The 15,307-nt window shown below is 44.6% G+C and overlaps 1 protein-coding gene and 1 long non-coding RNA gene across 9 annotated transcripts in view, besides 3 other annotated features; one reads left to right on the top strand and one right to left on the bottom strand.

Annotated features, from left to right (window-relative positions):
- Positions 1–2,073: 2,073 nt before the first annotated feature.
- Positions 2,074–11,549, bottom strand: ZFP42 (ZFP42 zinc finger protein). Of its 7 annotated transcripts, none has more exons than XM_011531606.2 (4): positions 11,480–11,549; positions 8,041–8,212; positions 7,635–7,711; positions 2,074–4,610 (listed from the first exon to the last, which is right to left on the bottom strand). In XM_011531606.2, exon 4 carries the CDS (start codon positions 4,510–4,512, stop codon positions 3,580–3,582), a length of 933 nt encoding a protein of 310 aa, XP_011529908.1. In that variant the 5' UTR covers positions 4,513–4,610; positions 7,635–7,711; positions 8,041–8,212; positions 11,480–11,549; the 3' UTR covers positions 2,074–3,579. The 7 variants fall into 7 exon arrangements, with proteins under 7 accessions (XP_011529908.1, XP_011529907.1, XP_011529906.1 ...); XM_011531605.2 differs by having other exon boundaries at positions 8,045–8,212; XM_047449603.1 differs by having other exon boundaries at positions 2,274–4,607.
- Positions 10,400–11,381: an enhancer, noted in NCBI's record as "NANOG-H3K27ac-H3K4me1 hESC enhancer chr4:188917093-188918074 (GRCh37/hg19 assembly coordinates)". NCBI's record gives its function as "activates a minimal SCP1, AML or CMV promoter by ChIP-STARR-seq in primed H9 embryonic stem cells {active_cell/tissue: H9 hESC(primed)}" and the evidence as "EXISTENCE:reporter gene assay evidence [ECO:0000049][PMID:30033119]".
- Positions 10,491–10,785: an enhancer, noted in NCBI's record as "tiled region #7889; K562 Activating non-DNase unmatched - State 10:DNaseD". NCBI's record gives its function as "activates a minimal TATA promoter and a strong SV40 promoter by Sharpr-MPRA in K562 cells {active_cell/tissue: K562}" and the evidence as "EXISTENCE:reporter gene assay evidence [ECO:0000049][PMID:27701403]".
- Positions 11,382–12,361: an enhancer, noted in NCBI's record as "NANOG-H3K27ac-H3K4me1 hESC enhancer chr4:188916113-188917092 (GRCh37/hg19 assembly coordinates)". NCBI's record gives its function as "activates a minimal SCP1, AML or CMV promoter by ChIP-STARR-seq in naive H9 embryonic stem cells {active_cell/tissue: H9 hESC(naive)}" and the evidence as "EXISTENCE:reporter gene assay evidence [ECO:0000049][PMID:30033119]".
- The window catches only part of LOC124900881 (uncharacterized), a 50,716-nt gene continuing 49,849 nt past the window's right edge, over positions 14,441–15,307 (top strand). For both annotated transcript variants that reach the window (XR_007058513.1, XR_007058512.1), the window contains exon 1: positions 14,441–14,638. This is a non-coding gene — a long non-coding RNA (uncharacterized LOC124900881). The remainder of the gene's footprint in view (positions 14,639–15,307) is intronic.

Genomic DNA, 15,307 nt, shown 5'->3' with positions numbered 1-15,307 from the left:
AAAAACCCTACACATGTAAGATTCTGTTTGTTGTTTATGGGCCATGAAGCCAAATGCCAGCTTGAAAACCGAAAAACATTTTATTCATTTATCAGGATTTGGGGTCTGTCAAATGCCAGTGCCTGGAAAGGTGAAAAGCTAGATGAACTGAGACTTTTTTTCAGTTTTCTCTGGGTATGTGTTCAGGTTATCTTGTGTTCGTTCTTACTTAAAACACAAATGTGGAGAGTCTATGTACATTTCTTCCTGAACCATAAACAAAGGATTTCAGGTGACATATCCTCATATATCCTCATTAGCTAACCTCCTTTTCCTTTTTTTTTTTTTTTGTTTCCATTGCATCCACATGCATCTTACATCCACATTGCATCCACATGCATCCTCTTACATTCTTAGCAGTTTTAGGGTTCCTTTTTGGAAGAAAAGCAAAAACAAGAACAGCTAGGAAGCTAGCTAAGTAGCACCCTATTCCTCAGTCAGGATTTAACTAAGCCTTGGGATCCAGATACACAAGCATTTTCTCAGATTGCTGTTTCTTACACATTTAAGCTTTAGAGTTGTTAACAGGGAGTTTCGGACCCTTCAGCTCTAGAAAAGAGCTGAACAGGAACAGCCATCTGAGAACAGCAAGAGGGATGGAGACTGGCTCCCGCTATGTAAAGGCTGATCTACCTTTTAGAAATGCTCATGGTTCAGGAAGAAGCATCTCCATCCATCCCTCTCGGTGCCCTGCATCTCGGCTCTCCAGCTTGCAGCCTAAACCCTGCCCCTGACTTCCTCTGGCCTTGAGGGCTGCTATTCAGTCCTGCCTTTTGCCTGGTCTTCAGAGGTGCTCTGTGCTAATTCATCTCTGAAGTAGAAACCCACAGAAGAGCAAATCAAACACAGTGCTACGAAAGCAAAACTAGCTGAGAATATGCTTTGTCATCTTGATCAAATACCAAATTCCCATCTCAAGTTCTATACTCAGGTGTTTGATTTGGAGGAAATTCCACTTACAAATGGATTATGTACCCAGTGTTCCTCACTCAGTACCCACATTCCTGTAAAAATGATACTAGAAATTCTAGACCAAATTAAGAAGTAATTTCCATAGTCCATAGTAGCAATTAGCTCATACTGACGTCAAAATGTAAGCCTTTGATTTTTTTTACTTGTTTTAAAGACATATTTTAGACTTTGGCATTTTAGAAATCAAGATTAATCTTAAGTTTGATATATTTACTTAGTGTGGTATTGTTATTTCCTGAAAAGCCATTAAATTAATGGTACACTTAGCACTACCTCCAGAGATGTCTTAAATCTTAAAATCAAATAAGCATTTCAAGTTTGATGGCAGCATATTTTTGGCCATTATGAGATGATTCCAATCAGGGATTCACTTAATAATGATAAAAATGAGTTAACCCCTACATTAGATCAGCTACCTTCAGACAATTTCTCCCTTTATCCGTATGTAACTACTTTCTCTGAATTTCCTTCCACAGCAAGAAAATACACCAGATCCCGTCTCATCTGTTAGTAACAAGAAACTTCCTCTTTGTGGCTTGCCTCCAGCTGTGACCCTCTCCCTGAAGGAGACTTGCACATTTGCTGTTGAACAAAAGTGGCATGAATTATGCAGCCCATATCCCCTTAATGAACATTTACGTTATGGGTTTATCACTATTAAAAATACTATTCAGTTAACATTCTTGAACAGATCCCTTTGTACATTAGTACAAATAACCTCAGTACCTCAGAATGTGACTTTATTTGAAGGTAGGGTCTTCAGAGTTTGTCAAGTTAACATGAGGTCATCAGCACGGGTGATAATCCCACATGACTGGTGTCCCTGTTCGGACACAGGCAGAGTGAAGGGATGTGGGGATACAGGGTGAATGCCATGTGAACACGAGACAGTCACTTAAAGCCAAAAAGGGAGGCCTGGGCCAGTCCTTCCCTCCCAGCCTCAGAAGGAACCAACCCTGCCAACACCTGGGTTTTGGACCTCTAGCCTCTGGAACCGAGACAATACATTTCTGCTAAGTTACCTAGCTTGGGAGTACTGCTACGGCAGCTCAAAAACGAATATAGCACAATTACAAAATTTATTTCCAAACTGGCTGTGACAGTTTATCCCTTATCCAACCACACGTAAGCCCAACTTCCCGCCATATCTCACCTATACCGAACATCAGTCTGTTGAATTTTGCTAAGTTTTAAGAACAAATAAATGGTATCTCTTTTCAATGTAGACTTTGATTTTTTAAAATACAGACTTGGCATATTTCTGAAGTTTCATATTCTTTAATTGTGAAATATCTAAAATGGATTCAAATGGACTAACATTATCAAATAATCACATCTAACCATATGATTTCCATATAGTTTGATACAATGATAAAAAGAAAACAAAAATCACAATGAAATACAGTTGACTTTAAGGAATATTTAACTACTGATTCATTTATTGACTATCTACTGCAAATTTTTCATTCTCTAGGGCTATGACATGAACCATGAAGTATATTTTTAATTTTTACTTTTTTTAAAAGATGGGCTCTTGCTGTTATCCAGTCTGGAGTACAGTGGTGCAATCACAGCTCACTGTAGCCTCAAACTCCTGGGCTCAAGCTATCCTCCTGCTTCAGCCTCCTGAGTAGCTGGGAACACAGGCGTATGCAACCAGGCCTAGCTAAGTTTAAACATGTTGTGGGGGGCCAGGCACAGTGGCTCACACCTGTAATCCCAGCACTTTGGGAGGCCGAGGTGGGCAGATCACTGGAGGTCAGGAGTTTGAGACTAGCCTGGCCAACATGGTGAAACCCCATCTCTACTAAAAATACAAAAATTAGCCGGGCGTGGTGACACACACCTGTAGTCCCAGCTACTTGGGAGGCTGAGGCCAGAGAATCACTTGAACCCGGGAGGTGGAGGTTGCAGTGAGCCAAGATCACGACACTAGACTCCAGCCTGGGTGACAGAGCGAGACGCCTACCAACAAAAACAAAAATAAAAATATATAAATACAAATAAAAACAAATTTTTTTGTAGAGACAGGATCTCACTATGTTGCCCAGGCTGGTCTGGAACTCCTGGCCTCAAGCTATCCTCCTGCTTTGGCCTCCCAACAAAGTGTTGGGATTACAGGCATCAGTCACTATGCCTGGCTGAAGTATAAATTTAAAAGGCAAAAGCTAAGAAATGGAAACTACACAATTAAAAATCAAAGTTATTTTCATATTTATAGTACATGAAAATAAGTCTTATATCCAATAATCCAACAGATAATATATTGAAGGTTATGCTTTTGAAAATTTATCACTGACCTTCCTGTTGGAAGCACACTTTAAGAACACACAAAGTTCTAAATAAAACAAATAAAAAAAGTTCTAAATAAAACAAATAAAAGAAAAAAAAATGCACCATGTCCTTAAAACGGTATCACAAAGTGTAGGAGCATCTTAGTAACACCAAATTATAACCGCTTTTGGGGTTGCAATATTGATTTAGAAATTCCTTCCTAGAAACAATAATCAATGAGGCATGTTTGTCACTGATCACTCTTCTGTTAATCTGCTTCATCCTGTTGGAGGACTACTTTCCCTCTTGTTCATTCTTGTTCGTATTTGCATGCGTTAGGATGTGGGCTTTCAGGTTATTTGACTGAATAAACCTCCTGTTGCAGCCTTGAAAGGGACACACGAAACGTTTCTCCCCCGTGTGGATGCGCACGTGCGTACGCAAATTAAAGTCCAGAGAGAAGCGCTTTCCGCACCCTTCAAAAGTGCACCGAAACGGCTTCTCTCCAGTATGAACCAGGAAATGTCTCTTTAGTTTTGAGCTCTCAACGAACGCTTTCCCACATTCCGCACAGACGTGGTCTCGGGGACCATGAATGAGGAGATGCTTTCTCAGGGCAGCTCTATTCCTCAACTTCCTAGTGCATCCACTCTGAGGACAAGCGATTGCGCTCAGACTGTCATATTCTTTATTTATGGGGGGCTTCTTTCTAGCAAATTCTGCGAGCTGTTTAGGATCTGATAGGTCAATGCCAGGTATTCCTCCAGGCGGAAGCTTCTTGCCTGTCATGTACTCAGAATACTCAAGCGAATTCTCTCCAACTATCTTTTGTGGAAGCTCTTTCTTTACCCCTTTTTTCATGTATTCCAAAGAACATTCAAGGGAGCTTGCTTCGAAAACCTTTTGAGAAAGCTGTTGTTCTGATCCTTTCTTTAGGTATTCCAAGGACTCAAAAAGTGAGTCCTCTTCCAGGATGGGTTGAGAAAACTCACCCCTTATGACGCATTCTATGTAACAGTCTGAGAAATCATCCCCTCCGAGAGCCTGAGGGCCAGGCTCATAGCACACATAGCCATCACATAAGGCCCACACCGCGCTGACAGGTTCTATTTCCGCCTGCAGGTCTTGGCTTGACTTGCCTTGCCTGGGCTTAGCCCCACTGGGGGCTCTTCCACCCAGGCCTTTCTGGTGTCTTGTCTTTGCCCGTTTCTTCAGTTGCTGGCTCATGTTTTCCTGCCTGTGCCCTTCTTGAAGGTTTACACCAGGATATATCAACCACCTCCAGGCAGTAGTGATCTGAGTAAGCTGTCTTCAGCAAACACCTGCTTTATGATAATAACCTTTAGTTAAAATAGATTCCAGTATTAGAGCCACTGTCAAAAAATGACCTAAGACACATTTTCCAATAATACATTTGTCTTCTCTGATAAACTAACCAAGAGACCAAGAATGAGCTCTGTGTAAGACATGAGTCATAAACAGATCTTATCTGGGTGTCCCCACAAGTTATTGGAACCCTCTATATCTAATTGCTCACCTGACACGTGTTGGGTGGGACTATGTGCTAGCTCTATTTTAGGCTACACAGTTTGTGATCCATCAGTAAACAGGCATACAAACATCTATGCCTCCATGGAGTAGACATACTCATGAGCATAGAAAATAAGCAATGTATGCCACGTTAGAAGGTGACTAAGTGTGAAAGAGTAAGCAAAGGGGCTGGTAGGAAACAGAAGCCTGCAATATTAAATAGGGCACTCGGGCAAACCTTCACTAGGGTGGTAAGTGGCAGTTGGTTAAAAGCCTGAAGGCGGTGAGGGAGCAAAATACTGTCTTTTCTTTTTCTTCTTTTTTTTTGGAGACGGAGTCTCACTCTGTCGCCCAGGCTGGAGTGCAGTGGTGCAATCTTAGCTCATTGCAACCTCCACCTCCCGGGTTCAAGCAATTCTCCTGCCTCAGCCTCCCAAGTAGCTGGGATTACAGGCGCACGCCACCACGCCTGGCTACTTTTTCTAGTTTTAGTAGAAATGGGGTTTCACCATGTTGGTCAGGCTGGTCTGGAGCTCCCGACTTCGTGATCCGCCTGCCTCGGCCTCCCAAAGTGCTGGGATTACAGGCGTGAGCCACCATGCCTGGCCCTATTGTTTTCTTATGTAATACTGTTATGAAATTCAAATTAAATAACGCATGCAAAGTGCTTAGCACGGATTATGGTGCACAGCAAATGCTGGCCGCTATGTGAGCTCGTGTTATTTTATTACCTTTTTATTCATTCTACAAGTATATGTTGCATCCTGCTACACGCCAGGTTCTTTCTAGACTGGGGTGGTAAACTATTTCTGCAAAGGGCCAGATTTTAGCTTTGTGGGTCCTGTGGTGTCTGTTGAAACTATTCAACTTTGCCGTTGTAGCACGGCACAGAAGCAGTCAGATAACACATAAAGGAATGAGGGTGGCTGTGTTCCAGTAAAACAGGGAGACTGGCCCATGGGCCATCGTGTGCCCACTCATTGTTCTAAAAAATGGGGATCCAGAGAATAAGACACATGAAATTAATGGTGCTCCCACTTTTAGGAATCCATGCCAAAATAAAGGCACGGGGTAGCTTGGCCCTGAAGACTTTCCTATCATTTCCTTAAACATTTAACAGCAATGACGTTATAAAAGTTATAGCATGAATATGTTATTGCTTTGACTATAAAAGTCTCTTACTTAATGTTACAATTGTGTGCCTGAGAAAAGATCTCCCTATTTATTGTCCTGATGTCTTTCTGTAGGAAGAAAAATTATATGCCTTTAAAAAAGAGGCAAAGGTAAAAGTTGTTGGATGAAAATTAAAATAACCACATTAAAAAAAAAACACCTCAACAGAAGCATGTCATTTACTTTTGGTAAAAAACAAATACATATAATAAAAACAAAATGTGTTCCAACTGTAGGGGAAAAGTTTAAGATTTCTTAAAATGTATTTAAAAATATGTAATACATATATGTTATATGCTACTAATGTTATTTTTTGTGTCCTTTTATTTTATTTTGAGATGGAGTTTCGCTCTTGTTGCCCAGGCTGGAGTACAATGGCGCAATCTCAGCTCACTGCAACCTCCGCCTCTGGGGTTCAAGTGATTCTCCTGCCTCAGGCCCCAAGTAGCTGGGATTACAGGCAGGCGCCCCCCCGCCCCGCCACCACACCCAGCTAATTTGTGTTATTTTTTAGTAGATACGGGATTTCATCATGTTGGCCAGGCTGGTCTCGAACTCCTGACCTCAGGTGATCTGCTCTCCTCGGCTTCTCAAAGTACTGGGATTACAGGCGTGAGCCACTGCGCCAGGCCTGTGTCCTTTAAAAAGGTGAAATTAGGGCTGGGTGCAGTGGCTCGTGCCTGTAATGCCAGCCCTTTGTGAGCACAAGGCTGGCGGATCACCTGAGATCAGGAGTTTAAGACCAGCCTGGCCAATATGGCGGAACCCTGTCTACTAAAAATACAAGAAATTAACTGGATGTGGTGGCGTACACCTGCAATCCCAGCTACTGGCAGGAGATCACTTGAGCCTGGGAGGCGGAGGCAGTGAGCCAAGATTGTGCCACTGCACTCCAGCCTGGACAACAGAGCGACTTTCTCGGAAAAAAAAGAAAAAAAAAGAAAACAAAAATATAGAGGTGAAATTAACCAGGGAGATCTCAAAATATTTATGAAGCACAATATTAGCACCTTTGGAGGGTAATTACTAGGATTAAACACAGAGCTGCTCTCCCCAATTAGTCCATTTAAAAAACAGCTTGTGCATCCCAAATCTGAAAATCTAGGACCTGAAATGCTTAAAGTATGAAACCTTTTTGAGTGCCATCATGACACTTAAAGGAAATTCTCATTGGACCATTTTGGATTTTGAATTTTCGGACTCGGGATGCTCATATTGGGTATTTTGCAAATACTCAAACATTCAAAAAAATCTGATGTCCATAATACTTCTGGTCCCAAGCACTTTGGATAAAAAATACTCAACCTGTAACTGCAATTTAATTGACTGCTGCTTTTCCCTCCAAGCTCACCTCCTGCCATCTATAGCTCTTGTATTTCACTATTCAGCCATAATAAACTTTCTCCAGTAAAGCATCAGATCAGTCCATTACAAATGTTCTTTTTTCTCACTAAAATACCACCTATCCTCCAACACACACACAGAGGCTTGCTTCCCATCCATACTTCAAATGCGCAAACATCACCTCTTCAGGCAGGCTTCCCTGGATTCTTCAGCTCAGTTGAGTCCCAAAGCTAAACGTTCTCCTAGCTCCCTATTTCACACTGATCAGAGCTCTGGTGTCCCTTGCTTCAAGTCTGTCTTACCTGCTGGACTGTGAGCACTACTAGAGTGAAGGCCTCTTCTGTTCTGTTCACACAGGCTCCAGCCTCAGTACATTTGTCTAGTGAGATGAAATCATGAGTATGCATTAGTCATTGTGCTGTTGATCTCTGATTTAACAACCCTATATAATTACTTTACTAGGAATTTATTTGAGAGTTTAGACAATTTAATGTAGAAGTTTCAAAAAAGCTGGCTATTAATGATGCAGGGTGTTACATAGAAAGGAATTTCCTAAGGCCAGGCATGGTGGCTCATGCCTGCAATCCCAGCACTTTGGGAGGCTGAGGTGGGTGGATCCCTTGAGCCCAGGAGTTGGTGACCAGCCTCGGCAAAACGGTGAAACCCCATCTCTACAAAAAAGAAAAAATGAGTCTAATCAGACCACACCTACACTTCAGCTCAGCGATGGTTAGGTCTGAATTCCCAAGGGAGGCCGTGAGTGGGGTGGGTTTGCCTAGTGTGCTGGTGGTCAGCTATTCAGGAGGCTGAGGTGGGAGGATCGCTGGAGCCTGGGAGGCAGGGGTTGCAGTGAGCTGAGATCACACCATTGCACTCCAACCTGGGTGACAGAAAAAAAAGAAAGGCATCTCCTAAGAGAGGTGTTTTCTTTATGAATTTACTAAGGTTCAAGTATGGTCCTTACCTTTCTAAGCTAAATTCTTATTTGTCAGATCTCCGAGCATTATGCTATTTCTCATAGCAGTATACAAGCTTGTGAGGATGACATATAACATTGAAATGGTAATTTATTAATTTACTAAAAGAAAACTATTTATATGGCAAGCCAATTTCTGTTAGCAGAAATAACTAGTCATGCATCACTCGAAGACAGGAATATGTTCTGAGAAATGTATCTTTAGGTTGCTGTGTCATCCTGTGAACATCACAGAGTGTAGCTACGCAGACCCGAATGGCACAGCCTGCAACTCACCCAGGTTACACAGTAGGGCCCATGGCTCCTAGGCTATAAATCTCCACAGCATGTTACAGTTCTGAGTACTGTAGGCAACTGTAACACAACAGTAAGTATTTGCATATAAACATATCCAAACAGAAGAAATACTGTACAAAAGATAAAAAATGGTACACCTGTGTAGGCACATTCCCATAATGGAGCTCACAGTACTGGTAGTGGCTCTGGATGAGTGAGTGAGTGAGTGTTGAGTGAATGAAGGCCTGGGACGCCACTGTACACAACTGTAGGCTTTATAAGCACTGTACACTTAGGCAAATTTTAGAACTTATTTAAAAATTTGTCTTTCCTGAATAATAAATTAACCTTAGCTTACTGTAACTTTTTAAATTCATTTATTTATTTACTTTTTTTTTTGAGACAGAGTTTCCCTCTTGTTGCCCAGGCTGGAGTGCAACAGCGTGATCTCCGCTCACAGCAACCTCCGCCTCCCAGGTTCAGCCGATTCTCCCGCGTCAGCCTCCTGAGTAGCTGGGATTACAGGCATGTGTCACCACGCCCAGCTAATTTCGTATTTTTAGTAGAAATGAGGTTTCTCCACGTTGGTCAGGCTGGTCTCCAACTCCCGACCTCAGGCGATCCGCCTGCCTCAGGCTCTCAAAATGCTGGGATTACAGGCGTGAGCCACCGCGCCCAGACTCTTTTTAACTTTATAAACTTAAAAATGTGCAAACTTCCTGACTCTTTTGTAATAACACTTAGCTTAAAACACAAACATTTTTTCACCTGTACAAAAATATTTTTTCTTTATATTCTTATTCTGTAAAATTTTGTCTGTTTAAAAACTTTTACGTTAAAAACGAAGAGACAAACACACACATGAGCCTAGGCCTACACAAATTCAGGATCATGAAGATGTCACTAGGCCATGGGGATTTTTCAGCTCTTTTATAATCTTATGGGACCACCATAGTACGTGGGGTTGCTCACTGACTGAAACGGCCTTATATGGAACTTGACTGTACATGGAAAACATACTGGTAAAAGCGGATGTGGACGAAATCTTCATATACATTTAGTATTCGTTCTAGGTGCTGAACTTAGGGAAAAAGATGCAAAGTTCCTCGTTAACACAAAGTTTGGTGTGGGACAGACAGTAAAGGGCAAATAAACAAAAAATGTCAGATTGAGAAAAATGCTATTAAAAAAAAGGTCGGGGCGGGGTGGGACCGGGAGCGGTGGCTCACGCTTGTAATCCCACCACTTTGGGAGGCCGAGGCGGGCGGATCACGAGGTCAGGAGATCGAGACCATCCTGGCCAACATGGTGAAACCCTATTAAAAATAAAAAAAATTAGTCGGGCGTGGTGGCGGGCGCCTGTAGTCCCAGCTACTCGGGAGGCCGAGGCAGGAGAATCGCTTGAACCTAGGAGGCGGAGGTTGCAGTGAGCCGAGATCGTGCCACTGCACTCCAGCCCAAGCGACAAGAGCAAAACTCTGTCTCAAAAAAAAAAAAAAAAAAAAAAGAATATGAGAGGGGAAGTAACCGAGGACGCCACCTTCATCATGAATGTCTGGAAAAGGCCCCCAAGGAGGGGGCCATCGGAGCCAGATGTGGGCAGGAGGAAAAGTGCACGGGGGTGGGAAGAGACGAGCGAAGCCTGCTGGTTCCAGGCTGCCGGCGCTCCCCGGGGGCTGCAGGCCATGCTCCATGCTCCACGCTCCATGCTCCATGCTCCACGCTCCACGCTCCATGCTCCATGCTCCCTACAGCTATGGCGGGCAGGAAGGTGGGGGCTGGGGCGAGGCCCAGGCGCGGGGCTGACGGTGAGCCCCGGGACCATTTGCATTTCATCCCAGGTCCCAAGGAAACCATTACAGGGCTTCCAACAAGCAAACAGCAAGTTTTTTTAGGTTAGAAGATGGGCCGGACAGCTGCATGGAGAATGGATTTGGGGAGAACAGAAAAATCTATTAGATTTGGGAATCCCGCGAAGGGCTGCCAGGGGTTTGGAGCAGATGGCGGCAGAGGAGATGAAATGCAGGGAGAGCGGGAAAACAGGAGAAAGAACCACCCCCTCGCCCTGCAGCTCGCCGGTGGATTGGATGAAGAGCGGAAGGGAAACAGGAATCAAGAATGAGTCTCGCCCGGCGCGGTGGCTCACGCCTGTAATCTCAGCACTTTGGGAGGCTGAGGCGGGCGGATCATCTGAGGTCACGAGTTCGAGACCAGCCTGACCAACATGGTGAAACCCCGTCTCTACTAAAATACAAAAATTAGCCGGGCGCAGTGAAGGGCGCCTGTAATCTCAGCTACTTGGGAGGCTGAGGCAGGAGAATCCCTTGAACCCGGGAGACGGAGGTTGCAGTGAGCCGAGATCGCGCCATTGCACTCCAGCCTGGCAACAGAGCGAGACTGTCTCCAAAAAAAAAGAAAAAAGAAAAGAAAGAGTCTCCTAGGTTTTTTGCTAGAGTAATTTGAGTTGGGGGTATTGCCATCTCCAGAGATAAGAGGAGAGGAAAAGAAAGGGAAGAGACTGGTGTCTTGATCACAATGTAAGCATGTTAATATAGAAAAGACTTAGCCAGATATTGTAAGGAAACATATTTACATGAAGTTTTGAAATAAAATAAAAAATGCAATTTAGGAAATCACCGCCAGACACTTGCTTTCTTGAGAGTGTATTACTTGCCCATCTGCCCGTTTTCAACATTTGAGGCCAGTGGCCAGCCACGGGTCACCGCAGGGCGAGGGCTACAAGTCTCCCGGCGAGGCCGGCTCCGGCCTGGTCCCAGGATGAGAACACGCTTCCCCTCCCTGACTATCTAACCCCTTTGACCGACACATTCCAAGTAGTGAGCAACACAACCCCCTTCTCCCCATTTGAAAAAAGTTCCATGAAACAAGACTCACCCCTGTTACCGCGAAGCACTCTGCTATTTCCAATGCCACCTCCTCCCAAACGTAAAACAAAGGAGAAACTGCAGTGGAAACGTGGACTGCCCTGCGCCCCCTCCCAAGACCCACCCTCCGGACTGACGCGGTCTAATCAGGCTACAGCCACCCATCAGCTCCGCCAGGGTTAGGGAGGGCGTGGCCGGCCCCGCCCTGGGGCGCCGCCCTGGAGCCACCTGGCCCGCGCGTTCACTCTCTGCCCGGAGCCGCCTGGCACCTGGGCGGCGCGCTCACCCTCAGCCCGGGGCCCCCAGGCACCCGGCCCGCACGCAAACCCTCAGCCCGGGGCCCCCTGACCCCCGCGTTCACCCCTCAGCCCGGCCGCCGGGCACTGCGCATCCGCCACGTGGCAGCGCCTCCAGAGCCCAGACGCCCGGCGTTGGCACGTGGTGAGCGCTCAATAAATGTCTGTTGAACAAATACGCGTGGGTGTAATCACATTTACCCTTTTAGGCCGGACGCGGTGGCTCACGCCTGTCGTCCCAGCACTTTGGGAGGCCGAGACGGGGGGATCACATGAGGTCAAGCGTTCGAGACCAGCCTGGCCAACATGGCGAAACCCCGTCTCTACCGAAAAATACAAAAATTAGCCAGGCATGGTGGTGCTCGCCTGTAATCCCAGCTACTCAGGAGGCTGAGGCAGGAGAATCGCTTGAACCCGGGATGCGGAGGTTGCAGTGAGCCGAGATCGCGCCACTAAGCTCCAGCCTGGGTGATAGAGCGAGGCTCCATCTCAATAGAACAAAACAAAACATTTACGCTTTTGCAGATCGAGGAAAAAAATCAAGCGGAGGAGGCAGTTTTTACCCCCCGAAATAGAGGTTGACTCGAACGCAAACCCCCACACCTTTCCCACCCCACCCTACCCCCAGTTGTTTCAAACACCCCCAGTGTTTGTTTTCTTTTTTCTTTTTCTGGCCATTAATGTGACTGTATTGCTAAAGGCAACACAACTCACTTTGAAAGCAATGGTCAGTCAACGCTCACTATTGGCTACAGTCTAGTGAAATGTAATAGGTCGTATAAGTACACCCAGACCATTAGAACGAAACCCAGATCGATATTTAAAAACCTCCTAAATGTTGACTTGAAGCTTTTCTGCATATATATCTGGGAGCAGTTCTCCACTTTTTTCTTTTTTTAAATCTGTTTCTGAATAAGCTTCAATTTTGAGGTTGGCCAATAAAATATAATTTTCCTTCCTTCCTTCCTTCCTTCCTTCCTTCCTTCCTTCCTTCCTTCCTTCCTTCCTTTCTTTTCTTTCTCTTTTTTTTTCTTTTTTGAGACGGAGTCTTTCTCTGTCCCCCAGGCTGGAGTGCAGTGGCACCGTCTCACCTCACTGCAACCTCCGCCTATTTGGTTCAAGTGATTCTCCTGCCTCAGCCTCCCCAGTAGCTGGGATTACAGGCATGCACCACCACGCACGGCTAATTTAGTATTTTTAGTAGAGACAGGGTTTCTCCATGTTGGCAGGCTGGTCCGACCTCAGGTGATCCGCCTGTCTCGGCCTCCCAAAGTGTTGGGATTACAGGCGTGAGCCACTGCGCCTGGCCAATAGGATATAATTTTCAATGAAGGAAATATTTATTATTCCCTGATCTCCTCCAGTAGGCATAGCAGGACCTCTCCATTTGAAATCCGATTTCAATAAAGCTTCCTTAGTTCCTTACCTTAGAATGTATTATTTGCAGACGAGGGTCAGAAAGCCGATTTACCAGTCAGAAGGACTTCCCTCAACTTCCCTCCTTCTGTCTCTATGGCGCCTTGCTGTGGCCTCTTTAGAAACTACAGGGGAATTCCACCAGCCTTTTTTTTTGTTTCCCTTGGAGATAAAAATGTTAACATTTGGGTTTCGATAAGAAATACTTCAATGAACCGAAGAATGTTGACCAGAACCTTCTTTGTAAGCCTTTAAGTGGCAATGTCATTGAAAGCCCCTTTCCTCACTAGATGGAAACACACACACTTAGCTCAAGCCGAGGATCCTTTCTTTGGGTTGTCGGAAACCACCCTTTATCACTCCCTTAACCATTCACACAGTGCATCCCATAAACTAGATTGATTTATAATCGCCTCCCCTACCACTGATTCCATTTGATCGCTTGGGTGTGGCTCTGTTTGGGCATTAGAGACAGCATGTTTAGAAAATCTAATTTTACATTTCACACTCCACCTCTTCCATAGATTATTTTTGCTCCCATTATCGTTTAGCTTTCCTTTCCATGGGCCTGAAGAAGAAACCAAAACGAATGAACTCATCTGTTGTGATATGAACTCAGCTCAAAGGAAATTGAATTTCTCCTAAATGAGCTCGAGAACCAATTAAACCGTGAAACAGAAGTGGGCTGTCTTGAAATTGACCACAAAGAGGTTATGCATAGAAAAAGTGTTGTCCATTGCTGGAATTTTAGTCATAGTGATTCTTCTGCCAGTAACATCATGGTCACTTAAAACACTTGTATTTCGACCATTTTATCTGTGTTACAAATCAATATTTTCCTTAAAACCCTTAAAATGCAAAAACTATAGATATGCATTAATTCACTCTATACAGATTTGAGTTTCTCCCCTACACAGGCGGAGGTTCTAGGCCCTGGTGGATACGTATTCCTGGCCTCCTGGGGTTTGAATGCGGAATGGCCAGGTCAGAACAGGAGGGTAAGAACTAGATTGAGGTGAGTAACTCACTTGTAAACAAAACACCCTCAGTAATCAGTATTAGTAATATTTTAACCTGGCATGTAAAAGAATCAAAATCAACGCAACAATTTATAGAGAACAAAATATCCACATTGTAAATAAAGACAGTCAGAGGATACCAGCCAAATAATCATGATTGTAAGTGTCACAATGCAGCTATTATTAGCACAATGAAGGAGAGGTGCGTGGTGCTGTGGGAGCCACATAGGAGAGCCGGGAAGTTAGGGGAGGTTTCCCTGATCTGCAGGAATCAGCGTGGACGGCAGAGCCTCCCTGACAGGAGAGGGAATAGTTATGGAAGGACCTGAGATGAGTGGAGGCGAGTGTGGAGAGGCTATGCAGGCCCAGACTCTGGGACCCCGTAGGCCATGGGAAGAACTTCGATCTTCAGTCCAGGAGCCCTGGGAACGGAATATTGTAAGAAAACATGCCTTATCTATAAATGCTTATTAACCTTAAACTTGTAAAACATTATTTCATTATTAGAGCTTCAGCTTATTTCTATTTGATTTAGCTAATATAAATTGAATACACGCACAGTCTCATTTTATCTGAAATCAAATTTCTAAAATAGTTATTATTACTGTTATTATAATTTCATTTGCGTTTTAAAATAACCCCGAGGCACAAAGAAACTTTATACAGGAATAAGTTTCTAAACTCAGATTAGAACCCAAGTGTTGGCTGGGCGTGGTGGCTCATGCCTGTAATCCTAGCACTTTTGGAGGCCGAGGCCAGCACATTGCCTAAGCTCAGGAGTTGGAGACCAGCCTGGGCAACATGGTGAAACCCCCTGTCTCTAATAAAATTAAAAAAAAAAAAAGAAAAAAAAAAAGTCAGTCGTGGTGGCGGGCGTCTGTAGTCCCAGCTACTCGGAAGGCTGAGGCAGGAGAATTGCTTGAACCCAGGAGGCAAGGGTTGCAGTGAGCCGAAATTGTGCCGCTGCACTGCAGCCTGGGCGACAGGGCGAGACTCCATCTCCAAAGACAAACGAAAAAAATGAAACAAAAATCCCTCTCCCTCTCTCCCTCTCCCCACGGTCTCCCTCTCCCCACGGTCTCCCTCTCCGTCTCCCTCTCCCCACGG

This window comes from Homo sapiens, chromosome 4, assembly GCF_000001405.40.
Source record: "Homo sapiens chromosome 4, GRCh38.p14 Primary Assembly".
Classification (NCBI taxonomy): domain Eukaryota; kingdom Metazoa; phylum Chordata; class Mammalia; order Primates; family Hominidae; genus Homo; species Homo sapiens.
Note: the sequence above shows the minus strand (reverse complement) of the source record. Positions and strands in the feature narration are given on the sequence as shown.

What these genes read in the sequence shown, in the direction of transcription:
- ZFP42 (XM_011531606.2), bottom strand. Translation starts at nt 4,512, where the DNA reads ATGAGCCAGCAACTGAAGAAACGGGCAAAGACAAGACACCAGAAAGGC.